At 41.1% G+C, this 15,383-nt stretch overlaps 1 protein-coding gene across 10 annotated transcripts in view, besides 2 other annotated features; it reads left to right on the top strand.

Annotated features, from left to right (window-relative positions):
* RFTN1 (raftlin, lipid raft linker 1) overlaps positions 1-15,383 on the top strand; it is a 197,855-nt gene that overhangs the window by 41,203 nt on the left and 141,269 nt on the right. For 2 of the 10 annotated variants that reach the window (XM_047447781.1, XM_047447779.1), the window contains exon 2: positions 379-536. The exons of the other annotated variants lie outside the window; for them this stretch is intronic. In XM_047447781.1, coding sequence (XP_047303737.1) covers positions 379-536 — 158 coding nt within the window. The remainder of the gene's footprint in view (positions 1-378; positions 537-15,383) is intronic. 10 annotated transcript variants of the gene reach the window in all.
* Positions 4,574-4,703: an enhancer, noted in NCBI's record as "active region_19545". NCBI's record gives its function as "activates an Ori minimal core promoter by ATAC-STARR-seq in GM12878 lymphoblastoid cells {active_cell/tissue: GM12878}" and the evidence as "EXISTENCE:reporter gene assay evidence [ECO:0000049][PMID:35858748]".
* Positions 4,944-5,073: an enhancer, noted in NCBI's record as "active region_19544". NCBI's record gives its function as "activates an Ori minimal core promoter by ATAC-STARR-seq in GM12878 lymphoblastoid cells {active_cell/tissue: GM12878}" and the evidence as "EXISTENCE:reporter gene assay evidence [ECO:0000049][PMID:35858748]".

Genomic DNA, 15,383 nt, shown 5'->3' with positions numbered 1-15,383 from the left:
TGGTTGTTTGGGGTCTTATTCTGAAAACTTTTTAAGGTTCTAATTTCTTCTCACAAAACGAGAACTGGGCTAGAGGCTCTTGGCTTAGGTTTGGATCTGCCTATTTGGATGATCTCTGTTTCTTCTTTGCAGTTAGTGTTTAATACTTGTAGTTTATTTCTCAAGCCCTTCACTCGGTCACAGGGAGCAAGAGGGCTATGCAGAGAAGAACACTTTGCCTTTCTCAGTGGCTTTCCATCCCAACACCTGTTTGTTTGTTTTTTTTTTTAAAGACAAAGTCCCAAGTTTCACAAACAGGTATAACAATCCTCACATTATTCAGGCAAAGAAATGTGACTTTTCCTCTTTAACTCCTCAAGCCTTTTTTTTTTTTAACAGCTTAACTTCTTTAATGCTGTGTCAGCTGTTAGGGAAATGGGAAGGAAGAGAAAAGAAAAATGGTGAATGCAAAGAACCATATTCAGGAGGTGCTTGGTCTCTGCTTACAAAGGCTGCAGCGAGACCCCCCCATATGAAGATGCTATCGAGGATTATGTGTGAGTGAATTCTGAGGCTTGGTGTGGGCGCTGGTGAAAGTGATTGGAAATAGAAAAACACTCATGTAAAATTTTCAGGGTCACCTTTTAAAAAGGAGAGTGTCCTTCTAAACCACATCTTAAGACTTTTCAAATTCAAAGGAATAAAAAATAGTTTAAAAATAAAATATTCTGATTTCTAAAATTCATAATTTTTTGATCAAACTTGTGCCATGACAGAGCTATAATTTGTGTTTTTATGTGTGTGTTTTAGAATGCTTAAGGAACTTGGGATAACCAATTTATAGTGCATGTGTGTCTATTTAAAAACTTGTGTGAAGAAGAGTTTTAAAAATGGAAAAATAGATCCAGGTTCTACTCCCTGTTCTGTAATTGGCCAGCTGGACAATGCTGGGCAAGTTTCCTTCTCTCCCTGACCTCCTTTACAGTGGCTGCTATTTATTAAGCACTCGACTGTGCACCAAGTTGCTATGCAGGCCTGTATGTGAATTATGGCAACAATCCTGAGAGGCAGGGACCATTAATATTGATATTTTCCAATAGGAAACTGATGTCCAGAGAGGCTAAGTAACTCACCTTGGAAGAAAGCTTCTCTGTCATGAGGCTAAGATTTGAGCCCAGGTTGTCTAACTTCAGAACCAATGATGGTAACCACTATGCATACTGTCTCCTCCCACTGCATAAAGTAGACTGTGACATGTGGCCCATTTTGCGTTTTAAAATGATTTGTGGCGTAATAGGCATTATAGGCCTTGATTTATAGTCACACATTTTTGTCTTTGTGATTTATTTAACAATAGGGTTTTGATCAATCCTTGAGTGTAACTTATTCCTAGAAGAAAGATGCATATTAAAATGGTTTGCTTTATTCTGTGGTTTTTGGGAACAGATATAAAAAGTGGAGACCACTTCTATTTTTATTTTTTAGAGGTAGTGTATGTGAAACTTTCCAAAGCACTTTTTGCTTGCATATTTTACCTTTAACAACTCTGTGAGGTAGGTTGGACAGATATTGAATTTAGTTATAATAGTTATCTGGAAATTCTTGTTTGTTAATTCTAGCACCCTGTGTAACTTGGGATTGGTCTTCATTGATTGCCATTTTTCTTTAAAATGGGTAACATTTTTTATGACATTTTTGTGGTAATTTTGAATTGTATCCTGGACATTGTGACTGTGATGGTGTGGAGACTCTGGATTCTGTTATATTCTTCTGATGACTGTTGATTTTGTTTGTTTGCTTTAGCAAACAAGCAGTTGGACTCCAGCTGCCAACTCTGTCTCTTGGGTGGCAGCTGAAATTTGTTCTTTTAGCCTTAGCTGGGTTGCTTAGGGAGTACCTCGTGCATGCATGGTTCAGGAGTCTGCCAGAGATCTGGGCAGAGTTTATACACAGAATCTGGGGCTCTTTTCTCTGGCTCTCTCCTTTCTGGGGTTTTCTCTTCATATTCTACCAGCTGAAGTAGCCCTGTGTTCTGTCTTCTGTTTCTTCAAGCCAGTAAACTGTGGGTTTCTGTCCGAGTTTTAGCTGCTCCTGTGGTACCAACCAGGGCCTGCCCTTGGGCTAAAAGCCATCAGAGACAAAACCTCGCCCAGTGCAGTACTTTTCTTGCAAGTGTTGATGCCCTCCAGTATCTGCCTGCCTTGGCTTCCTCTCCAGTGCCCTCAGAAAGTTGCTTTGTTTTGTTTTGTTTTGTTTTTATGTCTGTATGTGTGTGTGTGTGTGTGTGCGTGTGTGCAGAGTTTATAGTTGTTATCTGCAGGAGACTTGATCTATAGGAGCATCCTCAGTCATACCAGAAGTGGAGCAGGAAGGACAAATATCCCCATTTTAAAGATAGACAAATGAAGGCCCAGAGAAATCCCATCTCTGGTGTCAGAACACAAGTTTCTGGGTCTGTAGCCTGGACCCCCCTCTCTTTCTGACAGATCTAGGTTCAATTTTCACTTCTGCTCCTTGCTAACCCCATGACCTTGAGCAAGTCACTTAACCCTTTCTGAGCACACAGCTCCTCTGGGTTATTGTCAGGGTGAAATGAGATAACATATCTGGAGCGGCTGGGGCAGAATAAACCTTCAGGAAATGTCCCTGTGTCAACAGAAAGGGTCCTTGGGGATGTACTTGCTGTGATTGTTTGTCCTATCTTCCCCTGGGGTTGACTTTGGCTTTGTGTCCAGTCAGTGCTGTTGTGCAAGGAGGGAAAAAGAAGTAGCTTCATGTTCAAGGTGAGCAAGCATCCTCTGGGCCCAAGGCCGTCCTCTGTGGAAGTCCTGGAGGGGCCTCAGGCCAGCATGTCTGCCCCCAAGCTCCTGGTCCTCTCTCTTCCCCCCTTCCCTCTGTGGAGCACGCCCTACCATGCTCCCCAGTGCGGCATCCTGGAGTCCCACTTTGCGTCTCCAGTTCCTTCCCGCCTGCACCAGGCATCTGTGGAAGGTCGTGCACCTGCCTTTGCACTGTCTCTTGGTGTCAGCTTGTCTTCTCCATTCCTCTAACCAGTGGCCCAGATTTGTCCAGCCTGGATAAGCATAACAGCCTCATAACTGGCTGCTGATGGCAACTCTTGCTATTGTAAAGTGCTTAATAATAATGATGATGATGATAATGATACTATTGGGAAGTATGTAATAACAACAACCGACTCACATAGCACCTAATATATACCAGTCACGCTTCGAAGTCCTTCACATATATTAATTCTTTTAATCCCCACAACACTCAGTGAAGTATATACTATGATTATGCACATTTTACAGATGAGAAAACTGCTAGGGAGTTGCGCAGCTAGGATTTGAACCTTAGTGCCTAGCTCCGGAAGCTATGCCCTTGACTTCTTCAATAGACAGCTAGATATTTTTCACATGTAACCTGTGGGATAAGGACACTGTTATTCTTGTACTTATTTGGACGTGGGATAGGCGGGAACTCAAGGATTGTTAGTGGCCTGTGGCCAAAGGAAACTCCACCTTAGTGGCCAGTGTCAGATGCGATTCAGGCAGGCTGAGTGATGGGGGGAATGGATTGGCCTTTTGGCAGTGAAGAAATGGCTGCATGCCTGCCCTAATGGGCCAGCCACAGGAAGGGGAAGCATACGTACCCTTTTCTGGCTGTGTCTAATTATGTGGCATTTTTTTTGTCTCAGTTATAAAGATTTAATTGCTCCATTGTACTGGGGCACCAGGGCCTCTTATAAGTCATCTTTTATGATTGGTGATAATTGGCTCAGCTTGAATTGGCTACAGCTAGTTGCAATTTCCTTACCATTTTTAATCTGAGATCTGATTTTAGCCTTATCTTTTTTCTGAGTAAAGTTTTTTTTTTTTTTTTTTTTACTCAAACGCTGGGTTGTACGTGAGGAAATGCGTCAGCCTCTCCCCGCTACTCCATCACTCTATTTGGGCTGATTTATGCATTAAGCATCTAATCTAAAGATAGCAAAGATATGAAAAGGCATCTTAAAGTGTTTTAATGGCTTGGAAGAGAAAATCCCACCAAAGGGAGAAACGTGCCCTTCACTCTGTCAGTGTTGTTAGGATCTGATGCCTGATCCCAGGGTGGGGACATTTTTGACAGTCATGGGGTATAGGCAGACAGCATCTAAGGGAGCCCTACTTATCTACCGGAAACTCGAGACAGAATGCAGGTACTTCAAAAACGAACGACAGTGAGGGTTTGGGAACTCCTACAGATAAGTTTCCAAATGAAAAAGATAAGAAGCCTGTCAGCTGAAAGGGAATGAGGAATGAGCCACATAAATTAAGCCGACGGAATTTCTAGAGAGTGAAGTGTGCTGAGGCATCACCAGCCGTGGGATATAAATATAGCTCACCCTGTTATCATTCTGGGGTCTGCAGTCTCCATATTGATGTTTCTATGTTTTGAGTAAGCACTTCCTGAATGTTCCAGTCTTTGAGTCTGGCAGACTTGATTTATGAAGAAAAGATGATGATAATGAATGGGAAAGGCTTGCTGAGGAATTAATTTGGGGGTAGTAGTAAGAGCGAGCCTGCTTCTCTCACCCTCTTTCCCCAAAGTGTACTCTTAGGTGGGTGCTGCCAAAATGCACGAGTGGGGTGAGGGATGAAGCTCTTTTAGACTTCCTTCCTCTGGGGTCTGCTCCCTGCTCTGTCTGCCAGAGATATTTGCTGTGAAAGGCTTTCACCCATTTCTGTCTTCTTTCCTTCCTTTCTTTATTCCTTTCTTCAACTGAACTTTGTTTCCATTCACTTGCATGCCCCTGAAGCTTTTGATGTGCATGAACTGCCGTTGGCTTTTTGCATCTCTGGTTTCCCTTCCATGGCGCACGGTCATCACCTCTTTTGGCCACTCCTCTTTGAGGGCTTTTCTCTGCTTCCCCTTAACCCTGGGCATTCCCCGGGCTCAGGCCCTGCCCACTCTCTTACAGAAGGCTCCTTCCGGGGTCAGCATGTGCTTGGCATGTTTGAGGATCACGAATGAGTCAAGTGTCTGGATCCAGTAGAGATGAGGATGAGTGGCGGGCAGCGGAGGCAGCCGGGGCCATGTCCTGTGTGTAGGGCCTGTGTGGAATGTTGTGGATGGCACTGGAGCAGTCTGAGAAGGAGGGGGCTGCATCTGGATGGCTGAGTTTGTGAGCCAAGGGGCCTCTGCATAAGTGAGGTGTTATTGACCTTGGGATCTTTCTTCCTCAAAATTGAAAGACCAAGGCACTGTGGTTTATTCTCCTGCCTTCCCTCATTTCCAATGCCATCATATCCACTTGATTATTCTTTCCAGCATCTCTCTATGCATCCGTCTGTTTCATTCCTCCCACTGGTTCCCAGGCTCAGGCCTTTAGCTCAGGAGTGGACTACGATCATGATTTCCTTCTACCCAAAACCCTCACCCCCCTTTTTGTTTTGTGTATCTCTCACACATCATTAGACTAAACGCTGCTGGTAACACATTTTTCTCCACACTGACAAGATAAGAATTGACCTTAGGCCTGCCAGTCTCTTTCTCCCACATCTGGCCTTTGCATCCATCCCCCTACTAACCATCTCCTCTTCAATCAGAGTGACCTTCCTTTTTATCCTCCCTCCCTTTGTCTGTAGCGTAATTACTGTGTCTTGACTTGTATTAGATACTCACTGTCTAGAAAGATGGACTGCCTTCCATGTTTTCAGCTATGAGAAGCGTATGTGTGTCTGTGTATGTGTGTCTCAGTGTGTGTGTCTCTGTGTACATGAGTGTCTATACCTACCTCAGTATAGTTCTTGCTTTGAGAAGCTGGCAGTCTTGTTTGGCAGACAGGAGGTATGATTTTGAAATTCGCAGGTAACAGGTTGGAAGAAACTTCTGCCTGTAAAGAAGGTTGGTTTCTGAGGATGGTTGGTGTTTTACTTTTTCCTTAAATTAGGAAGGAGCCTGAGTTCAGGCCCAGAAGGAAAGGGGTGTAATGGCTGCTTCTCTGAAACGGCCTTAAGTGTTCATCAAAGAACAGAAGGAATCCTCTGCATCTTTTTCTGAGCTTCATGAACCACCAGTTGAGGAATTTGGAGTATATGATGTTGGAGGTCACTTCATACTTCGTAATTTGGTAATTTTTGCAATATTTTTACTATCATAGGTAAATAACAACAGAGATTTCATAGATATTACATCTTTAAAAGTAAAGTAAAACACTGATTTCTTTTTTTCCCACGTAAATCCCTGAATAGGAATGCAGTCCTCATGTGTACCTGTTCCTTTGCAAGCTGGGATGAGAGGACGATGCAAGTTAAAAGTGTTCTTTGTTGCAAGAGCAGGACGTGCTAGGCAGACAGTGGCTGAAAACGGAATGTGATGAGAGATGCAAGATTGTGGTGCATGGTGTATCCTGCATTCAAGCGCTTGGACCCCAAAATTGAGCACTGGGGAGCCACAGAAGAATTCAGAGCATGAGAGTGATGTGGAGTGATGGGCATTTAAATGGCTCATTCAAAGAAATGTGAGCTAAGTTCTGCTTCTGCCTTTCTGCCTCTGGAGAAATCTAAGCGCTGAGAGAAACAACTATGGAATCTTGTCAGGGAGGCCCGAGAGCTTTTTGTTTCTCAACTTTTAGAGGAGTTTGTGTTTCTTTTTTAAGGGCATGACTCCCTTACTTTTATGAATTAGTCTTTCTCTACCTTACATCTTGCTTTTCCCGCTCAAGTCCTCCCTGGGAAAATGGAGCTCCAGGGTTGGCAAGATGTGGACATCCCCTGCTCAGCCTTCTGCACAAGGTATAGTGAAAAGAAAAAGATTAGCTGTCCCCAGCAGGTCTTTTTGGTGGGTGTGATAATTTTGGTGATCTTATAATTCTGAAATTTTTAGCATCCGTAATTGACATGGGGGCTAAATTGCACCACTCATCAGATTGTACAAACTATTAAAAAGAAGCAAATTACCATGTATTTGTATAAAGCAGAAGAGGGGAAAGCAAGTGGCCTTTCTTTTAAATTATTGTTAAGTTTCGAACTGTATTGGATTTTGGATTTTTAAAAATTATTTTGTTTAATCAGGCATGGGGTGTGTGTGTGTGTGTGTGTGTGTGTGTGTGTGTGTCCCTCTGAGCTGCCAACCTCTGTTGGGGATATTTTTTTCCTGTGCTCAGAGAATTGCCTTGATGAAAGCGTTCAGCAATCAAATGGATAAAAATTGAACACATTCTTCAGGATACTTCTCATTTTTCTTCCTTATATGTTCATTTTCTGAACAACAACAACAAAAACCTCTATGAAATACTAAGGCTTTTTTTTTTTTTACCTTGAAGTGGCATCCTTGAATAGTTGCCTTCCATTATTTGTTTTAGCAGATTTCCAAGGTGACTGCCAAAATTCCCCAAATATTCCAAAAATAGAAAGACCCTTAATTGTGTTCGCTGAGACACCTCCCTTTTCCTTACTGGGACTGTCTGCTTCAGACTCATTCCCCTCTGTCTCTCTCCTTGTTGTGTTAATCTTAAAAAATGATTGTAATAAATCATTGTGATGGGAAGCAAATTAGAAGAGTGGGGAGATGGCTGGAATAAGAATCAGGGAACCGCACATGCAATCTTCTCTCCAAAGTTAACTTGCGAGTCACTGAATGTGTCTGAGCTTCAGTTTCCTTCAAATGAAGCAGGGGCTGGCAAACTTTCTGTAAAGGGAAAGATGGTAAATATTTTGGGCTTTGTGGGTGATGTGGTCTCTGTTACAACTACTTAAATCTGCAACAGCTTTTGTAGTGCCAAAGCAGCCATAGACAATATGCACATTTTATTGGAATATGCACATGGCTGTATTCCAATAAAACTTTATTTACAAAACCAGGCAGTGGGCTGGACTTGGCCTGTGGGCCATAGTTTGCCCAACACTGGCAAACTGTGCTCTAAAATATCAGAGTAAAAAATACTGCCTTCTTCTTATTATTAGTTTATATGGGGGGGAACTAATTATGACAATGAAAACACTTTGAAAAATATAAAGGAGAAATTTCTGTTTCTGGCTAGGATTGGGTAGTTTGAGGCAAACTAATGATCCCAAGAAGAACAACAAAAACTATATAAAATACAGAAAGCAACATTCTGTTTAAATCTGGGAAGTGTTGAAACAATGAGGAGTAGGGGGCTAAAATATCAAGAAGAAGAGAACTGTGGAGAGGTGAGCTGACGATCTGTAGCTACTTTATTTTTGGGAGATTTCTAATTCTGAGTGCTGACAAAATAATGGGGACCTGGGCTTTGCTTGGACGGAATGTTGCTGCTCTGGGAAAAATAAACCTGCAGAGCGTTTGTGTTCTCTTGGGACTGGAGTGGAGAGACAAAATTGGAGCTTGAGGAGCCAGAAATGCACAGTTGGCTTTCCCTTCAAGACAGTTGCTAAATTCTGGACTGCATGGGACGAGAGGTTCGAAAGATAAGCAGAATCCCTCCGGAAAGCAGAAGGGGTGTTGAGTAATCTTCTGGTGCTGAGACAATAAGGATTTACAGTTCAGTACCTGCTTTTGGAGGTTGGGAGGGGTGGGGGCATGGTGAACACACCAGGCTCTCAGTGAAGTCCAGGAGGGCTAAGTCCTAGCAAAGGGTGTAAGCCAGGAGCAACCTGAGTCTTGTAATAGTTCCTGATTGGTTTAGGTCATCAGCCCGCACCCCCATCCCCAACTCTATTTTCCTGACAGAAGAAAGGAGAGCCATCTCTTGAGGAAGATAACTTCATCAGAAATCTTTTCAACTTTCTAATACATGATGTCTGGTATTCAATCAAAAATTATTAGGTGTGTCAATGTGACCATTCCCCAAAAATGAGAGAAAAACAAATGATAGAAACAGATTCACAGATGATCCAGAGTGAATAGAATTATATTTAGCAAAAAAGGAATTTAAAAATAACTAATTAATATGTTCAAGAAAATAAATTTTTAATGGATAAAATAGATGAAAATATGAAAAATTTAAACAAAGAATTGGAATCTATAAAGAATAAAATGGGATTTCTATTACTTGAAAAAGATATCTGCAATTAAGAACTCAATGGATAGGGTTTTAACAGAGAGATCATATGTAGCAGAAGACAAGAATAGTGATCTGGAAGAAAGGTTAATAGAAACGATTTAAGCTGAAATGCAAAGAGGGAAAAATGGAACATATAGAAAAAAGCATAAGAGACAAGTGGGGCACAGTGAAAAGTCTAAGATATGTATAACTGGAGTCTCAGAAGGAGCAGAGAGGGAGGGAATGAGACAGAAGCAGTGTTTGAGGGAGGGAATGAGACAGAAGCAGTGTTTGAGGCTAAGAATTTCCCCAGATTTGTAAGAGAGATCAACCCATAGATTCAAGAAGTTGTACAAACTCCAAGCATAATAAATAAAAAGAAAAAGCATAGAGTACTGACTGGATAAACATGTTATTTAGAAACAAACAACACACTGGCATTGTAGATTTCTGTCTCTAGTGGGTGAGAACCATTACAGGATCAGGCTCTAGCCTCATGCTTCCTGTGTTTCCTTCCCCGAACCCTTGTGTATCCTTCAACCAAACCTCTTTGCTCATTGTCTCTTGCATTCTTCCGCTTCTTTACTTTTGTTAAGCTCAATTCATAACACCAGCCCTTGGTGTTTCCGTTTTTTAGGCACCTTTATCTTTGGCTTTATCATTGTCACTGTTAACATCTGCAAGTTGTAGTTTAAAGGTCAAACGAGACCTGCACCCATTGAGGTAGTGTATTAGTTTCCTGGGGCTGCTGTCTATGACAAATTACCACACATGTGGTGGTTTAAAGCAATAGATACGTAGTCTCTTGGAGCTCTGGAGGCCAGAAGTCTGAAATCAATGTGTCAACAGAGTCGTACCCCTTCTTGAAGGAAAATCTATTCCTTGCTTCTTCCAGCATCTGGCAGCTGTCTGCATTCATTGGCTCGTAGCTGCAGCTCTCTGCTCTGTCTTCATATTGCCTTCTTCTCCATGTACCTATGTCCTCTCCTGTGTGTCTGCCTCAAAACTCTCTGTGCCTGTCTGTTATAAGGACCCATGTGACTGCATTTAGGGACCACTTGTATAAAACAGGATAAACACCTCTTTCCAAGGTCCTTAACTTAATCACATCCTTTGTTATATAAGGTTACTATTCACAGGTTCTAGGGATTAGGACATGGACACATCCTTTGGGGGAACCTATTAAAGGTGGTGCTGCTATAAGAATAATAATAGTACGGGCTTAACAATAGTAGTTATGTGCCAAGAAGCATGCTAAGTGCATTATGTGGATTGTCTCATTTAATCCTTGTTCTGACTCTATAAATCAGGTTCCCTTATTACCACCATTGTACAGAAGAGGACTCAGGCTTGGCAAGGTTTAGGAACTTGCCAAGGCCATTCAGCTAGTAAGTGGCAGAGCCAGGATTTGAACCCACGCATTTGGGCTTCAGACCTCCTTGCCTTACGTGCTATGAGTGAGCAGGCTGAATTTCTGGTTGGACTGCTTCCAGGAGCTGGCTTTTAGACTGTGGGCCCTGGATGGTACTTCCTAGCTCTAAAATTCTATGGTCCAGTGAGTTTTTGTCAGAAAAGAAAACCTCAACCTGGATTATTAAGAGTATAACAAATTTTAATCTGCCAGATAATGGAGAGGATTTGCTTACACTGCTTATAGATGAAACTGACAGGAGTTTGCTGTTGTGCATTTTGATATTTGCTGATGGTTTAAGGTGTGTGTACTGGAAGGAAAAATTACTTGTGGACACACAGGCCAAATCTATACCATCTGAATGAATTGAAGTAATTACTCAGGTTATTTAGACCCTGCCTGCCAGATAATTGAGGTAAATGGGGTTATTAATTTGAAGTAGCTAGGTAATTTGGTCTGCCTCCCTTTGATAATGTAAACATGGTCATATCGTGTAATTGTATAATTGGCTGAAAGGGCCCTATTCTTTCTCTTGAAGCATCTGCTATTGTCTGTGGCCAGGCCTTTGGGTTATAGTGTGATAGTGTGTTCAATTAGTACAGAAAAACCCTAGGTATTTAGTGTGGGTTTCCTGGTGGAAAATTCATACATTTATGTGTATGTATTTATGTACGTGTATGTGTATATATTTTTAATTAAAAATGGAAATATAAAAAGTATTTTAAAATGGATAATTATTCCTGATTATTCACGGAAGAGTTTTAAAGAAATATATATATGCTTCCCAGTTAAACCACCTTAGAGTCTATTTGAGGAGATCAGCTCCTTTGTGAGAGTTGTTTTTTTTTATTGAGCCCCACTGTAATGTCTATATTTGAATTGCCTAAGAAACTCATTATAGCAGAGCTTATTCCTTGTCAAAGATGGTCAAAAGAAAATTAGATTCAGTTCATTAGCTTCTACCTAAACCTTGCTTAATGGGGCCCATGTTGTGGTTTTGTTATTGGATCACAAACATTTAACTTGATCCTTCCTATTCCTGGCACTGGCCCATATTGTCATGGCAGCTGTGCTGCCCGAGGGCCTCTGTGGCGTGGCCTCCTCATCTCACTCTCCAAAATGGCTGAGCCGTGGGTTCTGAGACTTCATTTTACATTGGGACCAAACCTGCTTTGTCTGTCATTTGTTGAAGAAGTCTGGCCAGCCTCGAGTAGGGGCTGCCTTATGAAGGGTAAGAAATTCTGGGGTGGGTAGGTGGGAGAGAGTGGGCCACTTCACAGCTGTGGTGGCCACATGTCTCAGATTTTCTGGAACCATCTAGCTCTAAAATATTCTCTATGGTTTTAGACCTTAAATCCTGAATTTTGGCATGGAAAATGAGGCTCAAGTGACGTCTGCTCACGTGTCTCTTGCGTTAGTTATCTGTATAACAGGCCTCTTACATGATATTTCTACCCTCACCAAAAAAGGAGAAAATGAGAAGAAGATTTAGGTTAAAAAAATATATATTCCCCACCCAGCCTCTGCTTGAAATGTGAGGTTTTGGTTTTGGACAGCGGCGTTGGTTGTTGACGTCATTGATCCAACTATTTTATTTCCCACTTCACTTTGCTTGCCCAGGTGTGGTCCAAGGAGTATGAGGGCTGTTAAGATAAAACCAGGCTCCGGAAATTCAAATGAAATGTCTACCTGAACCTCCTCAAGTCTTTCCTGTGGGCTGTGTATTTATTTATAAGCCTATTGGGCTTTGGCAGCAGAAAAAAAGAAGAAAGGAGGAATTTGTTTCTAAAATGAAAACCAAATTTAGTTAATATAAATGCTACCCATGTGCAACTCATCCTGCCAGATCCCAGTAAATGTACAAATATCAAAATAACACAATAGATAAAAATCACGGTGGAAAAAGAGAAATTGAGACACTTCTGTGTTTTGCAGGGCCAGAATAATCTACACAGTTTACTCCTTCCACCATGCATATTTTACATACTACATTATTATCTGATTTTATATAATATTCACATTGTAATTTCTGAATCAACTCTAAAATTCATAAAAATTTAGAATAAAGCTATGCCCACTCAAAGCATTGAAATAAGTCAATCATATGGAAAATTCATGTTCTCAAAAATGTCTTGGCTTCAGTTATCTGAGAAGAAAAAAATCACATTTAATTTTCTTAGTTTTCCAGTTTAGTTTGCAAATGTCAAATAACTAAAAGTTATAGGAACCAAAAAATGATAAACTTCTCTCAAAACTTATTGTATATAAATCTTATTTTTTTTCTAGCATTTAAATAAACAACAATGGCCAATAATTCTATAATATGTTCCTTTTTCAACTTTTTTCTATAACATGATGATATTGACTAGATATAAGTGATGGCTTATTTAAGCAAGTGAATTCTGCACATGGACTAGAATTTTTAAGAAAAATTTTAAGAAAATTTTGAATGTAGAGTTGAGTTTTATTTGTAATTTTCATTTATTTACTTATTATTATTATTATTTTAGAAACACAGGGTCTCACTCTGTCACCCAGGCTGAGTGCAGTGGCACGATCACAGCTCACTGTAGCCTTGAACTCCTGAGCTTAAGCAGTGCCCCACCTTAGTCTCCAAGTAGCTGGGATAAAGGCACACGCTGCTATTCCTGGCTCATTTTTAAATTTTTAAAGTAGAGACTCCCGCTTCAGCCTCCCAAAGTGCTAGGATTTGTAATTTTCAATCTTTTGAGATATGAGAAAATGAAAAATAGTTTTCTACTAGGGCACATAACTCTTCATGTAAGAGTTTAGGTGTCTGTTACACATTGTGGATATTACTTAGTCCTTTCTGGTTCTGTTAAAACTAATTTCCTTCAGAAAACACAGTAGTGGCCAGGCACAGTGGCTCATACCTGTAATTCCAGCACTTTGGGAGGCTAAGGCGAGTGGATTGCTTGAGCCCAGGGGTTCAAGACTAGCCTGAGCAACAGCGAAACCTCATCTCTACAAAAAATACAAAAAATTAGCTGGGCATGGTGCACACCTGTGGTCCCAGCTACTCGGGAGGCTGAGGTGGGAGAATCACCTGAGTCTGGGAGGTCGAGGCTGCAGTGACCTGTGATGGCATCACTGCTCTCCAACCTGGTGACAGAGTGAGACGCTGTCTCAAGGAAAAGAAAAGAAAGGAAAACCCAGTAGCCCTGGGTTGTAACTTTTAGGGAATTCGTGAAGCTAAGCACCATGTTTTCAGATGACTCCCCTGATTTTTGTACTTCTAATCTGCTAGAAAAACAGATGGACAGATTCATTATAAATGTGTATTTAAAAAGAACAGCTATATGGCCTGAAGGACTGCCCAAAGGGAACTGAAGTTTATGGAAAGCATTATGGTTTTGAGAATTATTTGGCTTCTTGCTGTTTTGTGGATCTGAGTTTTTAGTTGCTGGAATTTGACATCTAAATAAGAGGCTGTTTGCTATGATATGTAAATAGAGTGTGTGGGTCGAAATGCTTGTCATTATGCATGTTGAAAGGACAATTTACGATTTACAAAGATGGAAAAGCTCAATAAAGATCCACTATTGAAAAGCTACTGCAAAAGGAAAGCTATAGATAGATGGGCTTCTTGCAGATGAACAGAATTAATGACAAGTGAAAGGAAAAATTCACATCATGAGGAGGGAAAATGTCTTCCAAATGTCAGTGAGAGAAACACTTTTCCTTTTCCTTTCTGCTGTATCCTGGGCATAGCACCCCACTACCTGAAACTCCAGCACCCCGAGCATACCTGGACCTGAATAATACAGCAGAACATGCTGCAGCAATCTATTTCCATGCTTGCCCCTGCTGGCTTTGTACACCTCTATTGTCTAATCATCTCATCTTGTTTCCTTTTATCTTCCTGGTACCTAACACAAGCATGGCACATAGTAGGTGCTCAAAGAATGTCTGTCTTAGTCTATTTTGTGTTGTTGAAACGAAATACCCAAGACTGGGTAGTTTATAAAGAACAAAGATTTTTTTTTGCTCACAGTTCTGGAGGCTGGGAAGTCCAAGATCAACTTGCTGGCAGGTTTGGTGTCTGGTGAGGGCTGATCTCCACTTCCAAGATAGTGACTTGTTTTTGCATCCTCCAGAGGGGTGGAATGCTGTGTCCTCACATGGTGGAAGGCAGAAGGCAAAAAGGACCAAACTCTGTCTGTGAAACCCTTTTATAATGATATTAATCCACTCATAAGGGCTGAGCCCTCATGACCTAAGCACCTCTCAAAAGGACTCACCTCCCTTCACTGCTGCGTTGAGGATTAAGTTTCCAACACATAAATTTGGGGGAGACACATTCAGACCACAGCCATGTCTATCGAATTAAGTCTTAATGGTAAAAAGTCTCCTTTGTCTAATAGTTGTGTGTATACTTATTCCCTGCTCCACTGTGAAATTAGTAATGTAATTTTTGTTTCAGGCAGCACTTGCCACTTTCAATCAGAGGCACCGAAACAAAAAACTAAAATTTTATTACTTAAAATTTACAGAACTAAATAAGTGGTATTTGAGGTAAGTTTGTAATGCTTATATTTCTGAAATTTCAGCATAAAACTGTATTGAGACTTTTGGGATGCCTTGTATATCGTAAAAGAAGGTATAATGATAACCGGCATTTATTGAGTACTACTATGTTCTAGAAATGTAACCCTTCATAGGATTCCTATGAAGATCCTACCAGTTAAATATTGTTATTCTTCCTTTTTATACTTGGAGGAAGATTAAGAACTCATGCAAGGTCACTTGGCAAGAGGCCAAGCCAGGATTTGAACCCAGGAAGTCTAAATCCAGAGCCTGGGCTCTTAACCACTGAGTTAAACTGCTTCTTAAGAAGACTTGCCTCCCTGCAATGTTTACTGAAGGGAATGGATTTACCCAGACAGGCCTGGCCTTTGGTAGAAACGCTGCACAGCTCTGCGTAGAAGCAGTTAGTCATCTGTACTTGCAGAGGCTGTAAAACAAATG

Source organism: Homo sapiens, chromosome 3, assembly GCF_000001405.40.
Source record: "Homo sapiens chromosome 3, GRCh38.p14 Primary Assembly".
Taxonomy (NCBI): Eukaryota; Metazoa; Chordata; class Mammalia; order Primates; family Hominidae; genus Homo; species Homo sapiens.
The sequence above is the reverse complement of the archived record's forward strand: the minus strand, read 5'-3'. Positions and strand labels throughout refer to the sequence as shown.